General features: G+C 40.0%; 2 protein-coding genes across 10 annotated transcripts in view, besides 2 other annotated features; both read left to right on the forward strand.

The window, feature by feature from the left end:
* GCOM1 (GCOM1, MYZAP-POLR2M combined locus) overlaps positions 1 to 24,193 on the forward strand; it is a 125,654-nt gene extending 101,461 nt beyond the window's left edge. For 5 of the 8 annotated variants that reach the window (NR_104367.2, NR_104368.2, NR_104369.2 and 2 more), the window contains 2 exons: positions 18,620 to 18,824; positions 21,172 to 24,193. Coding sequence is in view for 3 of the 8 variants with exons in the window: in NM_001018090.6 (NP_001018100.1) it covers positions 18,620 to 18,824; positions 21,172 to 21,315 (349 nt within the window). In the remaining 5 variants the exon portion in view is untranslated. Of the gene's footprint in view, positions 1 to 8,188; positions 8,351 to 12,569; positions 13,009 to 15,349; positions 15,995 to 18,619; positions 18,825 to 21,171 lie in introns of all 8 variants that reach the window. The other 3 variants (NR_104371.3, NM_001285900.3, NM_001018091.6) reach the window with 3 other exon arrangements.
* Positions 13,245 to 13,464: an enhancer, noted in NCBI's record as "active region_9464". NCBI's record gives its function as "activates an Ori minimal core promoter by ATAC-STARR-seq in GM12878 lymphoblastoid cells {active_cell/tissue: GM12878}" and the evidence as "EXISTENCE:reporter gene assay evidence [ECO:0000049][PMID:35858748]".
* Positions 13,350 to 24,193, forward strand: POLR2M (RNA polymerase II subunit M). Of its 2 annotated transcripts, none has more exons than NM_015532.5 (4): positions 13,350 to 13,591; positions 15,350 to 15,994; positions 18,620 to 18,824; positions 21,172 to 24,193. In NM_015532.5, exons 1-4 carry the CDS (start codon positions 13,479 to 13,481, stop codon positions 21,313 to 21,315), a joined length of 1,107 nt encoding a protein of 368 aa, NP_056347.1. In that variant the 5' UTR covers positions 13,350 to 13,478; the 3' UTR covers positions 21,316 to 24,193. The 2 variants fall into 2 exon arrangements, with proteins under 2 accessions (NP_056347.1, NP_001018112.1); NM_001018102.3 differs by having other exon boundaries at positions 15,821 to 15,994.
* Positions 13,785 to 13,834: a silencer, noted in NCBI's record as "silent region_6475". NCBI's record gives its function as "represses an Ori minimal core promoter by ATAC-STARR-seq in GM12878 lymphoblastoid cells {active_cell/tissue: GM12878}" and the evidence as "EXISTENCE:reporter gene assay evidence [ECO:0000049][PMID:35858748]".

Genomic DNA, 24,787 nt, shown 5'->3' on the forward strand with positions numbered 1-24,787 from the left:
ACTATGCCTATATGTTGTTTGAGATGGTTGCAAACAATTCTTTAGAAATTGTTCCAAATGACAGGATTATATCCTTTGACTAGAGCATCTCTGACTATAAAACAAAGGAATTATTTCCTCCAAAAAGACTGAGTCCTCACAGAAGGGCATGCTGAGGTAGAAATAAAAAAAAATTAAATTTTTACACTTGATTCTAAAAAAAAGTTGTAATCTTAATGAAGTTCATAATCTGGAGGAACATTAATTCCGTGAATTATCTGAGAACTATTTGTGAGGATTGTTTTTAAAATTGCTTTAAATGTAAAAGTTTTTATTTTTTGCAAGGATTCTTAAAACACAGAAGGCCTTATAAAAACTTTGAGATTGAGAAGTAAAGAACGCTTTCCTGTAACAAGTATATATCTTCTACTAGTAATCTAGGAAGTTTCTATGGTATTAATTGCAGCCTCAGAAAATAAAAGAGTTGGTCTAAGTGTTTTATTTGCACTTGCCTCCTGCACCCAAATTCAAATGCCCTGGTACCCAAGAAGTTTGCCTATAGTTGAGAAGGGTAGGATAATAGGGCCAGTAGCTGATGGGAGCAGGGGAGGATGCTTCCCTGGGCTATAAGAACATGCCTATCCTAAAGTCACTCAAATTCCTAAGTCTGAAAAACACTGTGCTGCCAAACACACCCATCTGTAATTTGAATGTGGCCAAAGACCCACAATTTGCCACCCTTGACTTGCATTATCTAATGTTTTTCTTTCTGTATATTATGAAGAGGATATTTATTCCTTCATACTAACTTTCTTCAGTCTGCTTGAGGTGATGCCCTTCCACATCATTCATAATAGTTTCTTGTCTTCTACTATTATTGACAACTTCACTTTTTTAACCTTATAAACAATTTTAAATTACTCGGAGCTGTCATCCATTAGATATAAAAATTAAATGGAGCCCAGGAATTCTAGGTGATGGGAAACATTATCCAGGGCTGTAAGACATGCACAACTATGGGAGTCCAGCAAAGGCTGATAAGCCTGGAGCTCCAGCAATGTTGGGTGAGCATTTATTTAAAGGGAGCTACTTGCTTCCTGGTTTGACTGCATACCAAATATATCTTCTCAACATTTATGAGCTTAAATAGATGCAGATGTTGCCAGAGAGTGTATTGTAACATTCATCATCCTAGAATCATATAATTTAAGTGTTGAGAGGCATCTTGGACTTCGGTTCAATACTCTCATTTTAAGCAGGAGGAAGCTGAGGTTCAGAAGAGTTAACTGACTTGCCACAAAGTTAGTGGTCCACAAACCCTGCCCCATAAAAACATTGTTGAGGGTTGACAAATTTTACTACCACCACCTCCGTTCTCTCATCTGGATTGCTTTAATTGTCCTATACACTATGCTTGACTATTATCTCCTCCCAATTTTCAAGAAGAAAATTAATGAGAATTTTTTTTTCCTGAATAATTCTTCTTTATATTTCGTGGGCATCCCTTACTTCTCTCCATCTCCCCACTGTTGATGATTTTCAGAGCTGTGTTCTTTCTCATGTAAGATGGAAATTAAAGGTGACCAGACACTGATTTTGGCCAGGTCTAGTGAGAGGAGAGGGGTTAGTTTGTTTTCTCTAACTCTAGCCTGCTGCTGATCACTAGTTTATTTATTTCATGGCCTCTGATGGACATCAGACTCCAAATAGTGAGAGCCATGGTGTGCTGACACTGTAGCAGAAATCAGTTCTTTCCATCCACTAAAAAGACAACTACCTCCTTGGTGAAACCTGAAATGATCTTATGAAATCTCATCCTGTAGTGACTTTGCAAATTACCTCACTCCTCCTTTTCTGTTTTCTCATAAATATATGTGCAGACTGTCTTTCCTCAACCACAAAGGAAGTGTAAACATAGTTTATCTGATGTTTTATGAATTAAATAATTTCTATAGCCAGACTTATATGATGTACTTGATGTTTTATGAAAAATCTTCAGTGAGGCCCATTTAAGTGTAGGACAGTCTGCCCTCCAGCATAGAATTTGAACCAATTCTAAGCAAAGTTTGGCTGTTATATCCTCCTACTTTCCTGCCCTACATACTCTCCAAATCCTAGAGATGAGTACTCTGGGGTCTTCCTATTATCCTAAACTCACTGATGTAATAGTCTGTCTGGTGTGTTCTTCTTCTCAGATTACTCAAAATTCTCTCCATTTTCTCCCTTTCCCTCCTGAACAAATTTCACTCTTTGGGTTTAGGTCATCATCTCAGCTAGGCTGTTATGAAGAAGCATTTTGGAACTAAATAATACTCACGTGTAAATGACTAATAGATCATTTATGTTCTCAAAGGAAGATCTTTGTTCACCATATAATCTTCTTATTGGTGGAATTTCACTCAATGTGTCAAAGGGAAGGAAAATAAGTCAAGGAGAGGGGAAGGTATTTTTAATCTTGTTTAAGATTTTATGTCTTAAACTGAGAGGAGGGGCCTTAGCTACAATGTCTATATAGTCTGTGTCAAAGACCGTGTGCTCTTTCAAGGATTTTTTTCCCAGTTTGTGAGTTTTTTCATATTTAAAAATCTTACAAAGTTTTATTATTCAATCACAATTCAGTTGGTCACATATCTAACCAGCAATCTTCATTAAATTTATTAAAAAGTAAACTTACATGAAATTTCAGAGTACCAAACATTTAATAATTTAAAAAACTATGTCTTCCCACACTATCAAGATCATAAAACACAGTGGTGGCCTGAAATGGGACATTCGTCACTAAAAAACACTTCAGCCATGTGACGGTATTAACAGAAAAGGGTTCTTTTCCACCAACTTGAACCTCACTTGGCTGAGATTTTCTCACCACAGTCTTTGTATTTTTTTTTCCCATGGGCAACTGCCCCCTTGATTAATCCCATTTCCCTTAGTCCTAGTTTTTCCAGGCAGCTGAGCAAACAAAGATGCAGGCAGCCATTTTAACGTGCTTCCTCCCTCAAGCCCTCTGGGATGGGCCGTCTGTTCATCCTGTTCATAAACCAACGGCCTGAATGGGCTTGGAGAAAGCAGCAAGGATCTTCTGTCAGGATTAATTTTAATAGGCCATAGTCTGTCACCCGGGAACCATAGCCCAGGCAAATGGCTTTAAATTACTATTTGCTGATAAAAAGGGAGATATGAGCTGAAAATTTGGTTCCTCATTTAAAACAACTTGGATAACTAATGCAAGAATTTACTTTTAGTGTGGAGTGCAGGTACTTTACAGCCTAAACCCTTGGGTAGCTGAGGAAAATCTTTTGTTGCCATGGGATCACAGTGAAATATAAAGAGGGGAAATGTGGCAGTTTGTAGAAGTATAGAATTTTAGAGCTGGAAGGGAAATAAAAAATGTATCTGTGACTTCCTAAGGACTTACGTTTAGAGCTTTATATTTCTGATTTCTGTGCAGAGAAACGCGATTCCTCTTATTGCCCCTTCTACTTTTTTGTCTCCCTCTTTACCAATTCCTTTCTCTTTCCTTTTTTTCACTGTTTTTCTCATACCCAATTCCAGTTCCTTGTTCCTTCCCTTGGTTCCTCATCCCTCACCAGCCAGGCTCCTGTCATTTCTCTGTGAAGCTCTGCACTGGGGGGCACATGAGGTAGCGTGGTGAATGTAGCCCCTAGGCAAACAAGTCAGGAGGCCCTAGCTCTTGTCTCTTCCCTTGTAAAGTGTGAGAAGGCAGTTTGGGGGACTGACTGGAAGGGATGGTTTTGTAAAATGACACACTGATGTCAGCCATTATTGTTCAATAAAGTCCTCTGTGTACCATTCATAAGTAATTTTTTTATTAGCTATGGCCATTGTTTTGGTTTGTTTAAAAATTCAGAATGTGGCTGGGCATGGAGGCTTACATCTGTCATCTCAGCACTTTGGGAGGCCAAGATGGGAGGATCATATGAGCCCAGGAGTTCCAGACCAGCCCTGGGCAATATAGCCAGACCCCATCTCTCCACACACACACACACACACACACACACACACACAAATCAGCTGGGCATGGTGGTGCACACCAGTAGTCCCAGCTACTTGGGAGGTTGAAGCAGGAGTAACCTTTGAGCCCAGGAGTTTGAGACTGCAGTGAGCTATGATTGTGCCACTGCACTTCAGCCTGGGTGACAGAGGGAGACTCTTTCTCAAAAAAGAGAAAAAAATCAGTGTGTTCCATACTCAAATGGATGCTTCCAAGAAAAATCATGGAAGAAAATAGAATTTGCTTCATACTTCTTTATGACCCTTGGTTCCCATCTCTTCCTTTCCAGCCAGCTCCCCTCAACTCTCATAGATCATATCACTTGTTCATGGAGAAAATGTTCTCCACATTCCTTTACAAACATGACTGATACCATAAAAAATGTTTGGTGCAAGTTCTGTAATCTTTCTTAAATAGCCCAGCCTGGGCACTTGAGCAAGAAGGCTGGTGGCTAAAATTAAACAAAACATAACAAAACCAAAAACAGGCTGGGCGCGATGGCTCACGCCTGTAATCCCAGCACTCTGGGAGGATGAGGCGGGCAGATCCCTTGAGGCCAGGAGTTTAAGACCAGCCTGGCCAACATGGCAAAAACCTGTCTCTACTAAAAATACAAAAGATTAGCCAGGGGTGGTGGTGCGCGCCTATAGTCCTAGCTACTCGGGAGGCTGAGGCAGGAGAATCGCTTAAACCCGGGAAGTGGAGGTTGCAGTGAGCCAAGATCATGCCACTGCACTCCAGACTGGGTGACAGAGCAAGACTACATCTCGAAAGAAAAAAAAATGCAAAGAACAAAAACAAAACCCAAGTGTCAATGAAGATGTTGAGCAACTTCATTGCTGATAGAGTGCAAAATGGTATAGATACTTTGTAAACAATTTGGTAGATTCTTAGAAACATTCATTTACCCTATGACCTAGTTATCCCACTCCCAAGTGAAATGGAAGCTTATGTTCATGCAAAAACCTATACACAAGGTTTATAGTGACTTGATTCATAATCAGCAATAACTTAAAGCAAATAAATACCTTTCAACTGTTTAATGTATAAGTAAACTCCTACAATGGACTACTATACCCATAGAATACAACACTACTTAGCAATAAAAAGGATCAGGTTACTGATACCTGCAGTGGCATAAATGAATCTCAAAACCATTATGCTAAGAGAAAGAAGGCAGATTCAAAAGGCTACTGTATGATTCTACTTATATGACATTCTGGAAAAGGCAAAACTCTAGGACAGAAGACAAACCAGTAGTTGCCAGGGATAGGGGTTCAGTGGAGAGGCTGACTACATTTTGGGGGGCATGATAGAACTGTTCTATATCATGATTATGGTGGTCATCACAAAACTGTATGCATTTGTCAAAACTCAGACCTGTACACTAAAAAGGGGGAATTTTACTACATGTAAACTATATCAATAAATCTGACAAAGAAAAGAAATATACAGTATTAATTTGCATGTTATTCATTTTAAAATAAATGGTATTGTTCTGCAACTTGCTTTTTTCACTTAACCTTAAGTTTTGGAGATTAAACCTTGTTGAAATCTGTAGATTTAGTTCCTTCATTTTAATTGACGTAGTTTTCAATTTTTGCTACCACTATAAACAATGTGGCAATGAATGTTCTGACACACGTCTTCTTTAGTACATACACCGAGTTTCCTTAGGAAGGCTAGTACATAAATGCTGTGTGTTGGATTGCAGAGTAGGCACGTCTTCCAGTTTACTAGATGTGACTGCATATCTTTCCTAAGTGTTTCTGCCAGTTCAGTCTCTGTAACACATGAGCTCCTGTTTCTCCAATCAGAAAGAGTTTGGAATTTTTAAGATTTTTTTACTTTGCATTTCCCTGAAGTTGAGGATCCTTTTTTAAAGCATGTTTTCTGGTTTTTCCAGTTTCCTCTTCTGTGAACTGTTCGTATTTTTCCTTTTTTTTTTTCTGACTTGTTTTGCTTATTGATGTATAAGAATTCTTTTTGTAAAGTGTGAGTTTTTGTATTCTGGATGCCAGCTTGCTGTTTATATGTATAATAGCCTTTACCCTTCTACACTACAGAAGTTTTTGCCTTAATGTAGTTAATTTACAAATTATTTCCTGTAAAGTTTGTAAAATGTGTCTTAAGAAATCCTTCCTAAACTTGTGATCATTGAAATGTTTTTCTGTAAATATTATTTTTCAATTTTAAATAGTAGTTTGTTAATTCCTCTGGAATTAATCCTCATGTCTATTGGAAGTAGGAAACTATTTATATTAATACTTTTTCCCATATACACAACCAATCTCTCTAGCACTATTTATGAAAATTCACTCTTTCCTCACTAATCTTAAATCTCAAATCAAGTTCCCATATATGCATGGGTCTATTTCGGTGTTCTCTATTTTGTTCCATTGGTCTATTTGCTGCAACAATTATATAAAATTAATAAAATGTAATTAAAAGGCCAGGCACACAGTAGGGCCAAAGCAAAAGCTAGCTTCCCCCACTCCTCAGTCAGCTCTCTAACCCTAAAGTCTGGTCATCAGTGAAGTCTTGGTTTTTCTAAAAGAATGATGCTGTTTGGCTCCCTTGTTGGTGATCTTTATTCCCACTGACTTCATCTGGTCCAAATCTCTGGCCAGCCTCTCCTTTAAATTCCCTTTTGGTACTAGCTCCCCACTAATCATCAATCTGCTGCCTGCATACCCCCAACTTGGCCCAGTGTCACTATGGCCAAGTCTAGGCATAGAGGCTGGACATGCTTCTGCATTGCCCCATAACACCCCCACCCCCTCATTCTCCAGCAATCCCCATGTGGCGGTCGGGCCATTTCTCATGCTGAGAGGCCCAACAAGTGTGAAGTTGAACACTTTCAGTCTTTGTACATTGACACTAATGTATCCCACATTAGTAATCCAAGTGAAGGAAGCAAAATTAAATTTCTTAAAGAAAAAAAGGCTGGGTGTGGTGGCTCATGCCTGTAATCTCAGCAGTTTGGGAGGCTGAGGCGGGCAGATCGCTTGAACCTAGGAGTTCAAGTCTAGCATCGGCAACATGGCAAAACCCTGTCCCTACAAAAAAATTAAAAAAAAATTTAGCGGGGCGTGGGACACACACCTGTAGTCCCAGCTACGTGGGAGGGAGGCTGAGGTGGGAGGATTGTTTGAGCCAAGAAGGCTGAGGTTACAGTGTGCCGACATTATACCACTGCACTCCAGCCTGTGCAACAGAGCAAGACCCGTCTCAAAAAAGAAAAAAAAGGTCAGAATTTAAGAGAGGAAGAGAGGGTCGAAGGAGGGAAATACAAATTCAGTTTTGGACAGGTTGAGACTGAGAAACCTTTGAGACATTCAGGTGGTAAGGCCTTTACCCTGACTCTAATTCTAGTCCCAGAGCAAAACCCCAAAAGACTCCTGTGCTTAAAAGCCTGGAGAGATTGGTACCTTGGAATTTATGGTAAGAGAGAGTTTTAAGAGGGAGAAACTGCTCAACAGGGTCAGATGCTGTGAGAAGGGGAAGGACTAAGACATATTCCTTGAATCTGACAGCCATGAAGGGATCCATGGTGCTTGCAAGATGGTGAAGAAATGGAGTCAGAGAATGTGGACAATTCTTTTAGGACGCGTATCTCTGAAAAAAGAAGGCAGGTGGAAGCTGGGGGCAGCTTTTAACTGCTTTATTGGGGTATAACTGACGTGCTATACACTGGACATATTTAAAGTATACAGCGCAATAAGTTTTTTTTAATTTTCTCTTTTTATCTCTAGAAGTAAGTTTTGACTTATCAAATGATTACACCCATATAACCATCACCGCAATTAAGGTATTGAGCATCCCCGTCACTCCCAAATGTTTCCTCCTGCCCCTTTGTCATCCTTCCTCCCAGCCTCTCCCTGACACCCCACAACATCCGATAATCACTGATCTGCTTTCTATCACTATAGATGCGTTCGTATTTTTTACAATTTTATATAAATGGAGTCATACGGTGTGTAATTTTTTCCTGGCCTCTTTCTCAGTATACTCGAGATTCATCAGAGTTGTTGCATGTACCAGAGTATTCGATCATATGCACAGACTACAACGTGTTTATCCACTTACCTACTAATGGATTGTGTCAAGTTTTGGGCTATTACAAATAAAGCTGCAATGACACTTATGTGCAAGCCTTTCTATTAATATATGCTTTCATTTACCTGTTTCTCTTAGGTAAATACCTAGCAGAAGAATGGCTGGGTCAAACGGTATATTTTAAGAAACTGCCAAACTGGTTTCCAAAGAGGTTGTACTATTTTGCATTCCCATTAGCAGTGTATCAAAGTTCCAGTTGCTCTACATCCTTTACAACACTTGGAATGGTCAGTCTTTCTGGTAGGCATGTACTAATATCTCATTGTGATTTTATTATTTATTTTTTCTTGGATATAGAGTCTTGCTATGGTGCCCAGGCTGGTCTTGAACTTCTGGGCTGAAGCAATCCTTCCACCTCAGCCTCCTGAGTAGATGAGATTACAGGCATGAGCCACCATGCCCAGCTTCTCCATGTATTTTTAATTTGCATTTTCCTAATGGCTAATAACACTGGTCTTCTTTCATGTGCTTATTTTTCACTTATATATCTTCTTTGGTAAACTGTCTTTTCAAATCTTTTATTCCCTAATCTGGAAAGTGGTGCCCATCACTTCTACCATATTTATTAGAAGTGAGTCAGTTAAGTCCAGTCAACATTCCATGGGAGAGGATTACATTGGAGTGGGACACTGGGGGCCATCCTAGAGGCTGTCTACCACGTGTGGCTTCCCATTTCTTTTAGGGTAAAATCCAAACTCCATATCCTGGTCTACAAAGCCCTGCTAGATCTAGCCCCAGCCTTCCACATTGCTTTTTTTTGTTATTTGAACATGCTAAGCTCCTTCTCCTTTTACGGCCTTAGTATCTTCTCTTGCCTCTACTTGGGATGTTTTTCCATCAGATTTTCCCACAGTTGATCATTTGTCATTTGAAGTCCCAGCTTAAAAGTTACCTCCTCAGAAAACCCAACCTCAGTCACCCAATCAAAGTAGTCTACCAGTCACTCCTTATCAAATCACTCTGTACTAATTCTCTATGTGACTCTTAGTACTGATAGAATAAAAGTTTCAATGTAACAGGAAATTTCTTTACCTCATTCATCGTTATATCACCAAATCCTAGAATAGCGTTTCACTTGTGATAGACGCTCAATAAATATTTACTTACTGAACAAATGAATGAGATCTCCAAAGAAGCAAGAACAGATGGGATCCATAGTATAGCTGAAGGGATTAACCTTGGATAAAGTTCCTGTGACTACTGCTGTTTAATAAACGACCCCAAATTTAGAAAAGGCATAGTGAAGATGTCTCTGCTCCACAATGTCTGAGGCTTCAATTTGGATGTCGTGAAGGCTGGAAGTGACTGGACAGTTGGGGCTGAAATTATCCAAAGTTTTGCTCACTCACATGTCTGGTGGTTGATGCTACCTGTTGGCTGAAACTTCAGCTTGGGATGATAGCCAAAACATCTACGCAAATGCAGACTTCTTCATGGCTTGCTTGCTGAGTTCCAAGAGTAAGCACTTCAAGAAAGCTAGGTAGAAGTTGCATCACCTTTTGTCATCTAGACTAGAAAAATCACTTTTGCTCTAGTTATAAGCACGCCCAGATTCAAGGATAGAGAAGAATAACCCCATTTCTTGACAGGAGGAGTGTTAAACTCACATAGCAAGAAGAACACATTTAGGATGGGAAATATTGTTGCTGCCATTCTGGTCAACTCCAACTATATCATGGCCAGTTTTGTGGCCATTCATGCCCCAACAATGACAATCAAAGCAAGAAAACAGAGGAGAACAGCCTGGAAATTCTAAACATTTATGTTTATCAGTTTTACAATTGATTGTCAGTTTTTATCTTCAACTAGGTAAGGACAAGTGGAAATCATTCCCAGGTCTTGTTTTTGTTCAGTGTCCTTGTGTAGCTTCGTGGCAGTGGGATGTCTATAGGTCATCTTGGCAGCACCTCACGTGACTAATGAAATTTTCCTTTCCCTTAATTCTGTTTTGAATTTTCCTTCCTTTCAAACGCAGCCAAATTTATTAGTTTACTCTGAGAGCAACATTCAGGAGATTAATCCAAGTACCACTGGAAAAGTGATTCATCTTTTTAATGAGCACTGAAAAACACAAACAAAAAAACCCCAAAACACTTGCCCAGATTCATTTTTATAACGGATGGGCTCTTTGACAGGCAACTGGAATTCTTTAGCAGAGATTAGCTGTCTGTGGTTTGTGGGCTCCATTTCCTTTCAAGTGTTTGGTTCAGCTGCAAACAGGTATAACCTGTAGCACTCATTGTTTCTCTCTTTAGTCTTCATTTCTCCATTGTTAAATTTCTCCATTTTATATCTTCTTCTCTAGACACTGCTGTGAAAATTTGTGTCCTAGATATTTATTTTTTGTTTCATAAATTATAAAAGAATACTTTGCCTATTTTCCTTTTGAAGTGTAAATAGGCTGCAAGTAGTCTGCTTCTGTTGTAGAGTGATGTTTTCCACTTGCCATGCTTCCTGGTTACTGACAAAATTAGACAGTTTGTGCTTGGATGCTGGTGGGAATTTAGATCTGTATTATGATATCTTGAAGCCCTAAGCCATACTGTATAAAAGATTCTATCCCAAACCACTGAAAAATCTACACAGTAATGATGATTAATTATATAAAAAGCTTAAGATTTGCATATAAGAAACATTTCATTAAGAGAAAGAGGAATATGGGGGAAAGGTAGAGAAAAAAATATGAGAGAAGGAGATTGTGTCAATTACTACATGCTATGTTCCTGAGAGGAGACAGAAAAAGTACAATTATAGCTCCCTCACAGAAAGGACTTTACAATTTTGTTAGGAAAGGAAAAAGAAATCTCGATGCATAACACAATTAGAGAAGTATAATATGCTTCATGCAGTGAGGTTCCAACTTTAACTAAGCCCTATAATTGTGCTGAAAAGAAAGAGAAGTTTGGTTTGGAATAACATGGGAAGGTTCAGGGAGGAGGTGAGACTTCAGCCAAGACTTACAATTGGCAAGGGGAGAAGAGATAGCCTTCCACAAAAGGGTAACAGAAGGGGGCAAAATTCTGAGGCCTAAAAGAAAGGCATCCTTGCCTTGGGGACACCTGTGGCCTACAATCAGCACATGGGGAGTTCACTACTGTGGGAGAAATAAAGGCCTCCAGCTGGGGTCCAGGGGTGGGGTGAGGGAGGCTTGCGGGGTGCTTATCACTGTAAACCAAAAATAAAATTTGAAGGTCCGCCCTCAACCGTCTGAATGGACTTCCTCCTGTAGTCCAGGGTCCTCCAAATTTAACCTAAAAGACTGGCTTAGGCCATGATGGGAAGCTGAGGTCAGACATGCCTCATTATGCCCTTCTTTCTTTTAGAATCCAGGAAAAGCTACACAGCATTTAATATCAACACATATACCTTGAGTCTGATAAGAAACACAACTTACTTTCTCTGAAGCCTGCTAACTGGAGGCTTCATCTGCATGATAAAATTTCGGTCTCCACAAGTTCTTATGCTAACCTAGACATTCCTTTAAATCAATTACCAATCAGAAAAAAACTTAAATTTACCTATAACTTGGGAGCCCATCTTGCCCCACACCCGCTCTGCTTTGAGTTGTCCCACCTTTGTGGATTAAGCCAATGTTTATCTTAAATGTATTTGATTGATGTCTCATGTCTCCCTAAAATGTATAAAACCAAGCTGTGCACCAACCACCTTAGGCACGTGTTCTCAGGATCTCCTGAGGGCTGTGTCACGGGCCATGGTCACTCATATTTGGCACAGAATACATCTCTTCAACATTTTACGGAGTCTTTTTTTTTTTTTTTTGTCAGTACCACAGACAACCACCTGACTCGAGGACCTTACCTATTTCTCATTCAGCCAATGCTGCAGCACGTTATTAACGTCCTTGAAAGCAAGTCTTATACAGAGAAAACTTATTTTGATATATTAATGAATCTGATCAGAATGGACCAGATTGGGGGGATAGATAAATGGTTGCAATTGTGCTCCCTGGAATAGCTTTGGAGTTTACCTAGATCTTCTGTCTCTTTAGGACAGAGCTGCTTGTGTTTATATAGCATCTTACACAGGATTGAGACAACTTCAATTTCCTATATCAAAAAATCGGGGGAGGGCGGTGGGTTATGGGGGTGTTCAAACCTCCCAAGTGACATCTGCTGTGACTGCATGTCTTCCTACTCTTTCCACTGGGATGCACCTCTGGTAGCTGAACTATAACGAGAAGGTAAAAGCTGTGTCCAATACCTATTAAGCTGCCTTCTTCTCAACAGCTGGGGAGGTGGCGGGGGTGGGGGGGGGCGGAGGGAAGTCTTTTCAACAGTTTTACACATTTGGAAATAGGCCTAAAGTGAAGAAGGGGATTTTCAAATTGGTGTGTTGGAAAAGGGGCTGGGCTTTTGAGTTTGAAATCTGGTGCTGTCACTTACTGGTTTTGTGCCCTGGGAATATTTATTTCAGTTTTCATGCCTCTGTTTTTCTATAGGCAAAGTAGAAAATTCGAAAAGGTCCTCAACGAGTTTGTACAGCTGCTCCCACTCCCTCATCACCTCTTGTGGGCCTTTGGAAATGTATGTTGGAGGAGACATTTTGGATTGTTGCAATGACTTGGGAGTGCCATAGCACCTAGCAGGCAGAAGCCAGAAACACCAAATGTCTTAACAATGCTTGAGGCGGTGCTACAAATGAAGTCCTTCTCCAAATGCATTGAGCCCCAAGAAAAATCGCTGATTCTGAGGAACCTTCCAACTTTAACAATTTCAGGACGTCCCTAAGCTGAGCTAGGAGGCACCACGCACAGGCCGGAGGCACCACGCACAGGCCAGAGTCTCCCAAATCCTGTCCCGCACTCTCTCCCACCTTATTAATGGCCAGCTCATCTTTCAAGTTTCGACTTGAACCACTTCTCAGAGATATCTTCCCAGGTGCCCATCCCAACGTTACTATTATATCATAATTTGATTCTCCCTCCCCCCATCCCCCCGCCAACTCTGTAAACCCCAAGTATAACACAGGACGTTGCTATTTGTTGACTGACACATAGTGCTTGGTGAGGTCACGCTGGCGCTGAATACTTTTTGTATAAACCGACGAACAGCTGATGACCGCATGAATGCTCACACAAGGGGAAAGGGCGCCAAGCCAAGGAGCCGGCGTCATCCGACGTAACTTCCGCCCTTTAACGCTCCTGCGGACGCCCCCTTCTCCCAGTCCGTGTTTGTTTCCGGAATTTCAATAAAGCTCGATTCGGCTCGAAGAAGACCCCGTTCTTCCGGGAAAATGGCGACTCCCGCTCGTGCCCCGGAGTCACCGCCGTCCGCGGATCCGGCGCTAGTAGCGGGGCCTGCCGAGGAAGCCGAGTGCCCGCCGCCGCGCCAGCCTCAGCCCGCGCAGAATGTGCTCGCTGCCCCGCGGCTTCGAGCCCCAAGCTCCCGAGGACTTGGCGCAGCGGAGTTTGGTGGAGCTGCGGGAAATGTTGAAGCGCCAGGAGAGACTTTTGCGCAACGAGTAAGCTGGGGTCCCGCGGAGTCTCCGCCAGGCTCCTTCAGCTCGAGCTCCCTGGGCGCTCCCCTCCCCTCCCGCACTCTGTTCCCTTCCCTGGAAGGTGACTTTGACTCAGTCACATTCGCTTCAGTCCTACGGGCGAGTGGACGGAGGGCTTGCTGCGGCAGAGCCGTGCCTCTTCCTGGCCAGGCACGTATGCCTGCGAGGATAGCTCGGATTGAACGGCTACCTGGCGTTGCAGGGAGTTAGTAGCCCCTGGTCGGTTTTATTTACCCGGGGACTGTGGTGGTTCCATGAGTCTGCTTTCTAAACCCTTTTGTCGCCCGCACCCCTAACCCATAACAGATTGTCAGCTTCATCTCTGGATTCTAAGCTTACAGGAACCGTAGGAAATGGGAAGAGTGGGATATGAAGAGGGGTTTATTAGGCCGGGAAAGTTCGACCCTCATTCAGCTGGCTGGTTGAACGGATTTTAGCAAGGGAGCCACGTAATAAAAGTGATTTTGTTTTTTAGGCAGCTTTGTTCAGCAGCTTGTTGCAAAAGATGGTTTGAAGGAATAAAAAGCAGAAGACAGTAGAAGGATATTTTCAGAGAGACTTCCCACGAGACACTTGTAAGAAAGTGAGCTAGGAAGGGATTGGGAGAACTTTTAAGCATGGACTAATTTAAATGCAGTTGACAGAGATGGCTGAAGTTTCCAATCTATATGGAAGACCACTAGCAAAAATAGGAAAATTCAGGGAGAGGAATAGATCCAAGGTTGATTTTACTTAGGGTGTGCAGAGTTGAGAGGAGAGCAGGACAGACATTTGGTTAATCGAAAACCAAACACTTAAAAGCTGGAGAAGTAGTCATGAGGCTCAAGAAAGAGAGAACCCTGGAAAAATACAGAAAACAGGAATTTCAGCTGTAGAGTGTTGTTAATAGTTGAAATTGTGGGGATGAATGTAGTGTCAAAAAGAACAGAGGACTTAAGGTGTAATTTTTTCTTTCCATTTATTGTATAGTTAAAGAAAAGGGAATCAGAAAAGGAACTCTGTCATCCAGCAAAAGGGACAAATAAATAATTGGTTGGGATCAAGACATGTGTTTTGACCTTGTGAGAATAGGTTTTGAATGTATAGCAGTGAATTAACTTTTTGGTCTCAGGACTCCGTTATACTTTAAGAATTATTGACATCCCAAAGAGCTATTTTATGTGTTGTATCTAGCGAAATGTATTTACTTATCAGAAATACGTCTGAAGTCTTTAAAACATAAGCATACACAAGCACACATTCTATTCTAGAACAATGATGTCATCACATGCCATGTAGCCTCTGGAAAACTCCACTGTACCCATGCGAGAAAATGAGAGGGAAATAATATCTTAGTATTATTATGAAAGTAGTTTTGACCTAATAGGCCCATCCCCACACTCCACCCCATCCCCAAATTTTGGAGATTGCACTTTAATGACTGCTGGTTCTTGGAATGTCTTATGTGATTATTATATGCTTAAAATACTTTTGCTGAAATTCTAATTTGCTGAGACAAATGAGGCATATATTCCCTATTCTTCCTGCATTCCCTTGTTTTTTGGGCTATTTGGATAATGACCATTTTAATTGTTTTATTCTTGTTTTGGGGCAGTTAGAAATCAGATATTTGACTTAAAAATCAGCTTTTCTTTCTTTGAAGATAATGCCTTGCCTTTTTAATGTTATATCTCAAGTTAAAAAAATGGCTGTAATGTAATAGTATTCTTTTCCATTTGACAGAAAATTCATTTGCAAATTGCCCGACAAAGGTAAAAAGATCTTTGACTCTTTTGCCAAACTGAAAGCTGCCATTGCAGAATGTGAAGAAGTTAGAAGAAAAAGTGAACTGTTTAACCCTGTTAGTTTAGACTGTAAGCTAAGGCAAAAAGCAATTGCAGAAGTTGATGTGGGTACAGATAAGGCCCAGAATTCTGACCCGATACTTGATACTTCATCACTAGTTCCTGGATGTTCCTCTGTAGATAACATCAAGTCATCTCAAACCTCACAAAACCAGGGACTTGGACGTCCTACTCTTGAAGGTGATGAAGAGACTTCAGAGGTTGAGTACACAGTGAATAAGGGCCCAGCTTCCAGCAATAGAGACAGGGTACCACCTTCATCTGAAGCTAGTGAGCATCACCCGCGGCATCGTGTTTCAAGTCAAGCGGAAGATACTTCCAGCAGCTTTGACAACCTGTTTATTGACAGGTTACAGAGGATCACCATTGCGGACCAAGGTGAACAACAGTCAGAAGAAAACGCAAGTACTAAGAACTTGACAGGCCTTTCCAGTGGGACTGAGAAGAAACCTCATTACATGGAAGTGCTAGAAATGCGAGCCAAAAACCCAGTGCCCCAGCTGCGTAAATTTAAAACCAATGTGTAAGTACCCTCGGAAACAGGCCTGTAACAGGAACGTGATATTTGTTAAACTCAAAAATTTACGAGAAACTGGGTGTGGTGGTGCTTGCCTGTAGTCCCAGGCTACTCAGGAGGCTGAGGTGGGAAGACAGCTTTGAGTCCAGGAGTTGTAGACCAGCTTGGGCAATATAATAAGACCTTTTCTCTTAAATAAGTCAGGAGAATGCTCTAAGTTCCGTGGGCTTTGTATGAGAACTACTTGTAGTTAGGAAATAACATGTTGTGGCAACACTGAGACCAGCCTGGCCGGAGTAGAAGATTCATGTTGAAAAATATTTAGTTTTGAAACCAAATAATCGACAAGGTCTTTTAAAGCACATGGGGGAGTGTTAAATTTTAGGATGCTTAGCCAGTATTTCATAATAAACACAGAGTTGGAGAGAATTTATTATGACTTCTTTTTTTCAGAACCATTTTTTAGTGTACAGCTTTGATTAGTGTACTATCAAAGTGTACTCTCTTTGATTAGTCTGTGAACTAAGGGTAAAGCAATTGCAGGAGCTGATGGGCTTTCCAGCAGAAATTATTTGCATGCTCACTGTATGTAAGCAAGCAGCAGGTGTTGTGGGGACACAATTAAGTCAAGATTCTTAAAACTCCTTTGCCTTTTTTGATGTTAAATCTCAAGTTTAAAAACATGGCTGTAATGTATACATGTGTAATGTAATACAATACCATGTTCTTCAAGGAGTTTAAGAGCTACATGAGGACCCAAGGTTTACACACTTGGAAAAGAGTTAAGCTACATAATAATAACAGTTTCAGGGGGAAGGAAGCTGAGAAGAGGTTTGAAAAACTGTGAAAATAGATTCAGGCAGGATAGGCAAAAACTCTGCTTATCAGTTCCTTGCCATAAATTTGTTTCTGAAATTTCAGGAAAAGTAAAATCTTTTTGAAAATAATTGCTATTTACTTGCAGCAAATGTAACATTCAACTCAGGTAACTGGTACCTTCTTCCTATATTGTATTTACAAGTATGTAACATCAAAGTTAAATCACTACTACCTTTCTTTGAAAAACAGAAAACCTCTAGTGAAAAGTATCTAAAACATGCTTCTTTTTTGTTAGACTTTAATTCTACCCCAGCATTCATTTTAACCTCAAAACATTTTATTTCTGCTGTATAGAAAATCAGGATTATACTACATTAACGTGATCAAGTACTCTCTTGTGTACAGTGGGGTATCTTTCTTCACTTCCAGGATGACATTTTAGAAAACTAGAACCATCATCTAGTCAATAAATAAAACAAAGAATACATTAATCCCAGTTCTGTATTATGGTCATTTAGCTGGGAGTGGGAGAGAGGTAAGGGAATAGTGAAGAGGGCTACCAAGAATTCAGGAAGTTTAAGAGACAGGGAGCCTCCTGTATAAGTTAGAGGAGAACAGGAAAGGCAGGGCTTTGAGGAGTCCTTAGGCCATAGACAGGTAGGGATTGAGAGGGTTCCGTGTGAGAGGTGGCTTGGAGGTTGGAAGGTGGGGTCAGGTAGTGTCCTTTGGGTCCTTTCTGCTCTTCCTTCTGCATACTCTTCTGGCTTCATGTATCACCTGGATGCTGGAGGCTGACCCCTGTGCACCTCTATCCCAGATCTTCCCAGAACTTTAGGTTTGCATAGCCAATTAACCATGAAACTTGATCACTTGGGTGTTCCCAGGTACCTCAGCTTAATGATGTACAAAGTGGAACTGCAGTTTCTTTCCAAGGTGATTTCCATATTCCCTAATAGTGCCACCACCTTCTCGGTTTTCTTCCCCTAAGGTATCTTCGATTTTTCTCATCTCCATATCTGCTAGCCATGAAGACCTACTTATTTCTTTGATCTTCATCTCTATAATTGTTCTTCATCTTCTGTCGAAGTGAAGACTCTCATCTCTCTCGGGCTGTAATTGTGGCCCCTTCTACCTCTAGTCTTAACTACCAGTCTATCTCCACTGCTGCCAGAGTGAAATTTGTAAGATGGAAATCCGAACTTGTTACGGAGAACTCTTCATTGCAGTCTGGGCCTAGGCTACTTCCCAGCCCTCTTTCTCGCTGTCTTTTCTGTGTAGCCAGAAAAGCTGAGTCTGTCTACCTTCTGTACTTTCTCTCACTCCCCTTGCTGGGATGCACTTCTCTCCTTATTTACATGGGTAAGCAGTTATTATTCCAAGACTGTTCAAAGCTTTTTTGAAACTTTTCTTAGCCTCCCTGTCTCCCACTAGAACTGGCCATTTCCTTATGTTCCAATGTATCTTGTTGAGATATCTATCACAGTATCTCTGGTATTGTATTGCACTGAAACTTTACATGTGTATTTCTTTCTACTGGGCAATAAGCCCTTTTGCAAATGTTCTTTGAATAAATGAAAAAAAAAAAAAAAACTCCAGATGAAATACAAGGTTTGAATAAGGAAGGAAAAGGCAAAGAGCCTGTATGCACACAAACACACCCCTATTTGTTAGAGCAATGAATACTGGTAAATTACTTACTGTTACCTTTGGAGGAGAATTAATTGCTAAGGTAAAGGCCATTTGTGTGAATGTTTTAAATGTGTCTACAAATAAAATAATCTGATTGTATAACACAAGTTTTCCTTTCATCAGGTTACCTTTTCGACAAAATGATTCATCTAGTCATTGCCAGAAGAGTGGGTCTCCTATTTCCTCAGAAGAGCGGCGGCGCAGGGATAAGCAGCATCTTGATGACATCACAGCAGCTCGGCTTCTACCACTTCACCATATGCCCACGCAGCTGCTCTCCATAGAAGAATCCTTGGCACTTCAGAAACAGCAGAAACAGAATTATGAGGTATTTAGAGTATTTTTTTTCTTGTCTGTTTGTTGGGTGCTGCTTACATAAGCTAGAATTTACTCCAGGTTCAAGGAGGAAGGAATGGAATAGAGGGGATTAGGTGCTTCCATGAGCTCAGATCTATGCCACTAGTTTTCAGAGAGTCACAAAGTTGCTAGAACTGCAGGAAGTAGCTAGAGATGATCACAGCTACCTTCAACATTAAAGTGGTGATTTGCCTGGAGATGTGGGGAGACTTGTAGAATTTCATGTCTTAAAGCTCATTTACCTGCCTGTTCCTGTTAGGATAGTAGTAGCATCGCATCTCTCCCTTTCACCTTGTAAAACTCATGTGACAGCTTCTCAGTGGCGGACTCAAACCCAGACCCCTTGTTAGAGAATGAGGAGAATGTAGTTCCCAGGCTTCCATCTTCTGCAGTACAGGGGAGGGCATAGAAGGAGTGGGAGGATAATGTTGTGTAGCCAGCAGACAGTGAGACACTGCTTTAGAGCATAATCTGCAGGCCCATGTGAAGAGAGAAATATCTCCTGCTTTTGGCAGCTTAATCAATTTTGCATAGCACTTTGTTTCCATGTGTTTTGCATTGAACTTCAAACATGTATGTTGAGAGTTTGTATACAGAATAATGGGATGGGAGAAAATAAGTGTGAAGGACCATAGGGGAACAGAAAAGTTTAGAAGTATTTAGTAATAATTTTAGCCTCCAGGAGAACAGTATCCTGTCTCACTTCCTAGGTATTGATTAGCTAGATTTTAGTCAGGTACTAGTGCACCAACTAGTATAACACCAGACTGTTCAGGAGTTCGAGACCAGCGTGGGCAACATAGCTAGACTCCATCTTTACCAAAAAATTAGCCGGGCATTGGGGCATGCAACTGTGGTTCCAGCTACCTGTGGGGCTGAGGTAGGAGGATTGCTTGAGCTCAGGAGGTCGAGGCTGCAGTGAGCCGCAGTCACACCACTGCACTCTGTATAGCCTGGGTGACAGAGTGAGACCCTGTCTCAAAAAAAAAAACAACAAAACAGGCTGTTAATCTGCTTTGGCTTTTCATAAAAGCCTTGGCATGGATTGGCATTATCAAGGTGCTCTTTTTGAAAAAAACCATTTTTCTTTCAGTGCATTAAAATGACTGTCTAGTTATGGCTGTAGCATTGAGGAAGTGTTTACTGTCTCTGAGCTCTTAAATGCCTGTCCTAAGATATTTTTAGGTTGAATTAAACCCTTCATCTTTAAATTGTTTTTTTTTAGCAGAGAAGTTGTAGTGGTAATAGCTCCCACTTTTACTGACCCATATTCATGGCTTGAAGAGGAGGACATCAAGAAGTTCAAGAAAGCATGAGAAAAGGGAAGAACTGAATTAGGAATGACATTGCCACCTACCATCAGTTGGTGGTAAAGTCCTTGGGAGTTTTTAAGTACATTGCCAGTGTCTGAAATTTACTTGGACTTTTTATTGGATACTAGTTGCTGTAGGACTTTATTTGGAGAGGAATAGTCAGCTTTTTAGTATTAATTTCTTGATTTTCATTTTGCCATTGAAATGTAATTCCCAAGTCTGGAAGTCATGATTGTAATTAGGGAAGAAGGTCCTGTCAGTTGTAGAAATCTAGACAGCATTAGTCCTTCTTTTTTTTTTTTTTTTTTTTTTTTTTTTTTTTTTTTTTTGAGACGGAGTCTTGTTCTGTCACCCAGGCTGGAGTTCAGTGGCGCAGTCTCAGCTCACTGCAAGCTCCGCCTCCCGGGTTCACGCCATTCTTGTTCATTCTTGTGAACCCGGGAACACGCCGGGTTCACAGGCACCCGCCACCACGCCCGGCTAATTTTTTGTATATTTAGTAGAGACGGGGATTCATCGTGTTAGCCAGGATGGTCTCGATCTCCTGACCTCGTGATCCGCCTGCCTCAGCTTCCCAAAGTGCTGGGATTACAGGCGTGAGCCACTGCACCGGGCCCCAGCATTAGTCATTTTTGACATTTGATAGGTCAAATTGTTATGTGAGTGTGTATACATGTGCATGTGCCCCCATATTTAACGCATCTGTATTTATAAGTATTGTAGTGCTAAGCTCATTACTCAGTTTCTTATATAGAGGAGTGTATTTCAGTGCAATGTTGTATATTAATGGAGGTCAGTAACTTCAACTGTAGCAGGCTGGTGGCTGTCAGAAGCATTACCCAGTTGTGTCTGATAGGGCACAGCCATCAGGCTTGTATTGCCCAAGGGAGCACTCAGTGAGGTGTCAGTGTCCCTCTTATTGCTGATTCTAGGTAACTTCCCATTGAAAAATTGTAAGGAAGAGATGTGAACGTGTAACTTTGTGCTTTGCTCTTTGTTTTAAAGGAGATGCAAGCAAAGCTCGCAGCGCAAAAATTAGCTGAAAGACTGAATATTAAAATGCGGAGTTATAATCCAGAAGGGGAGTCTTCAGGGAGATACCGAGAAGTAAGGGATGAAGATGACGATTGGTCCTCTGATGAATTCTGAAGATAATCTCCTAAATCACTGACGTTGAGATGTCATCATCTTACATCAGACTTTCTAACTAGTATCAAGATCAGTGTCAGATATTGTTGAGGGAAGTAATTTTATAAAGTTACACAAAGGTAGTTATAAAAAAAGCCCAGTTTGTCTTTCAGAAGGTGACTTTCATGTGCTTGAAAAGTTTAATATTTGAATATTGTGTTTAACCACATGGTATTAAAATTTTGCAATATATTGTGTATTGGTCTGATATTTTAGTATATAGTAGAACATACTTTTTTTTTCTTTAAGCCAAATGAAAAGAGGTAACTTTGCTTTTTTCCTTTTTCTTACCTATCAAATAGCATTTATTACATGTCTTTCAGTGAAATACTTAGTTGTTCCAGGCACCTAAAATCAATTAGGAAGACATAGTTCCCTTCTTTTTTGGGTAATGAAGGGAGCAGTCTAAAGAATTGTATGCATGTTTGCATGGGGTTATTGAGACATTGGATGTGAAATACCTAGGAAGACATGTATGGAGAATGCTTAACAAATGCTCTTCTCCTTTTTCTGTCTTCCCTTAGGAAGAACGTTATCTCTCTTCTGATTAGGAAGGACTTCCCTTTTGAGTAGATGCTGGAAAGTGGAGGTTTTTTTTGTTGGTTTGTTTGTTTGGTTTTGTGTTTTTTTTTGAGATGGGGTCTTGCTCTGTCGCCCAGGCTGGAGTGCAGTGGCAGGATCTCGGCTCACTGCAATCTAGGTGGAGGTCTTTTTAAATAACCTCATGTTACTTCAGGCAAATCTGGTACAGGAGAAGCCCAAGCTAACTGAGCTGGGTGAAGGCTTGTGCATCACCTGGCTTGAGTTCCTTGCTGTCACAGATGATAGGTTCATGTACACAACATTAATGTTTGATAAGGAAAGCATTTTTTTTTTGTTAAAATTGAATTGTCAGTACTTTACTTTTTTCCCCCCAAATAGGTATATATAGACTGCAGAAGCTTCAGTCCCATATATAAACGTTCATGTCATTTTAGAGGATTATATGGTTGTCTCCAGAGAAATTAACTTACATTATCAAAAAATTCTTTGTCTAATATATTGGAGTCTTTAAAAGTGTTGAAGAATAAAATATTAATTAGAACAACTTCAAATGCTAAGGTGATGTTTTACCGGGACTTAATTAAATACAACTTTTTCCTTTCGAAAAAGACTGTTCACATTTGCTTCCAGGTGTAATTATTGCTTTCATTCCTTACCCCCCTCAAGCAAATGTGAAAAGTATACTGACCTAAGATTCTCATTAGTTTTAGTTCTTAAAACGAATAGTAAATGATTTCACAGCGTAAAATTTGATGTTATTTCTGGAAGCTGGATGATATGGAAGAGTTCATGTGCCTGGACACACAGTTCCCTGTAATCCTGCCATCTAGGGAGATAAACTCTGTTAACATTTTGATGTTGTGTTTTTGCTTATTTTTCTATGCATAGTTATGCATTTATATTCTCAAAAATGAAATCATAATGTACATTGCTTTGTAGTCTGCTCTATATATTGTCAATATGTTCCCATATTAAATATTTTGCTTTTTAGACAGCTGTAGGATATTTTATTTCATGGGTATACCATAACTTTAAGATTTATTTCCTATTCAGCAATTTGATTATGTATTATAATGTAATCTGTAAATAGTGATATGATTAACATCTTAATCACATCCATAGAAAATGACTTATTTCCAGAAGATACCGCTCTAAAAATGAAATTGTTAGGTGAAAGTGTTTTTGAGAATTTTTATATATATTACTCACTGCAGAGATCATGTTCATTTACATTCCCATTAGCAATATATCCAATGCTCAGAATTGAAAATTACTACTTAAAATCTTTGCAAATTGAATAATTACAGAAAAGGGCTACATTTAAAATTTGTATTTGTTTTTCTTACTTAGTGAAGGTTGTGTTTTTTTTCATATTCATTGGCCATGCTATATTCATTCTTTTGAGAATTGCTCATTCATATTTTTTCTGTTGCTTGCTTGGAGAATTTGCTCTTTTTTTGGCATATAAGTTCTTAAGAATGTCCGTCCTTTGTCATATATTGTAACTTTTTTTAGCCTTATTTGTCATTTAACATAGTTTGTGGTATTTCAGTATAGAAGTTGTTTTCTTTAGGAGTCTACCTTTGTGTATGTGCTTGAAAGTATTTTTGTAATCCAAGAATGGATAAATGTCCTTATTTTCTTCTAGTATTTTCTTATTTCACTTTTACACCTATCTTTAAAAGGAATTTAAATTTTGTTTATATACATTAACTAAATCAGTACAAGTTTGGGGTGAAAAGGAAATTTTTAATCCATCTCAAATGTATTTGGTTATATTATATAAGGTAGGGATTTGATTTTATTTCGAAGAATTTACCAATTGGTTCAGTATGTGAAACCACCATTTCCCCTCTGATTAGTAATGCTATTTTTATAGAATATTAAATTCTTATGTGTCTTTTGTGTCTTAGGCCAATTTCTGGGCCTTCTGGGTTTTTTCTACACTGTCAATAATTATCGCTTTAATTGGTGTTAATATTTGGTAGTACACAGGTTCTCCCTTGTTCTTTTAAATTTTGTGAAATATAACTTACAAATAAGTACTTAAAACAGAGCTTAATGGGTAAAGCAACAGCTGTGTAATCACAAACTAGATGCAGAGGAGGTCTTGCCAGCACTCCAAAATCTCTGTGTGTCCCCTCTTGACACTCACTGTTTCCCCCAGAGCTAACTATCCTGACGTATGGTAATTCTCCCTCTGTCCTTTTAAGAATTATTTTACCAGTTATGTGTATAACAATATGGTTTACATTTTGCTCACTTTTGACTTATATAAAAATAGAATAATACTATATGTCGTGTTTGGTGTCTTTCAACATCGCATATAAGATTCGTGTCACATGGTGTGTTTCATTCATATTCATTGCTGTATAATGTGCTATTTCATTAATACCGCTATTATTCCACTTTGATGAGTGCTTTGAGATTTTCAGTTTTTGGCTATTATAAGTAATGCTTCAGTAAGCATCTTTGTGTACATAAACATGTTTCCATAGGATGTGTACCTAGGAGTGGAATTGCTCAGTTATAAGGTACGCACACCTTTAAAATTTTATATTCCCACCTCTGCTTCCATGATGTATGAGAGTGCTTGTTTATCAACACTTGGTGTGGCCAGATTTTAATTTTAGCCAATATGATGTTTATATAGTAGACGTTTGTTTGTGTGTGTGTGTGTGCGTTTTCTCTCTCTCTTCTGAGATGGAGTCATGCTCTGTCACCCAGGCTGGAGTTCAGTGGTGCGATCTTGGCTCATTGCAACCTCCGCCTCCTCTGTTCAAACGATTCTCCTGCCTCAGCCTCCCGAGTAGCTGGGACTACAGGCGCATGCCACAACGCCAAGCTAATTTTTTGTATTTTTAGTAGAGACGGGGTTTCACCGTGTCAG

The sequence above is a fragment of the Homo sapiens genome, chromosome 15 (genome assembly GCF_000001405.40).
Source record: "Homo sapiens chromosome 15, GRCh38.p14 Primary Assembly".
NCBI lineage: Eukaryota > Metazoa > Chordata > Mammalia > Primates > Hominidae > Homo > Homo sapiens.

Bases quoted from the DNA above. Each gene is read 5' to 3' on its own strand.
- POLR2M (NM_015532.5), top strand. From the start codon at position 13,479: ATGTGCTCGCTGCCCCGCGGCTTCGAGCCCCAAGCTCCCGAGGACTTG. The intron at 15,995-18,619 runs GTAAGTACCCTC...TCCTTTCATCAG, and splicing joins CGTAAATTTAAAACCAATGT to GTTACCTTTTCGACAAAATG. The intron at 18,825-21,171 runs GTATTTAGAGTA...TTTGTTTTAAAG, and splicing joins AGCAGAAACAGAATTATGAG to GAGATGCAAGCAAAGCTCGC.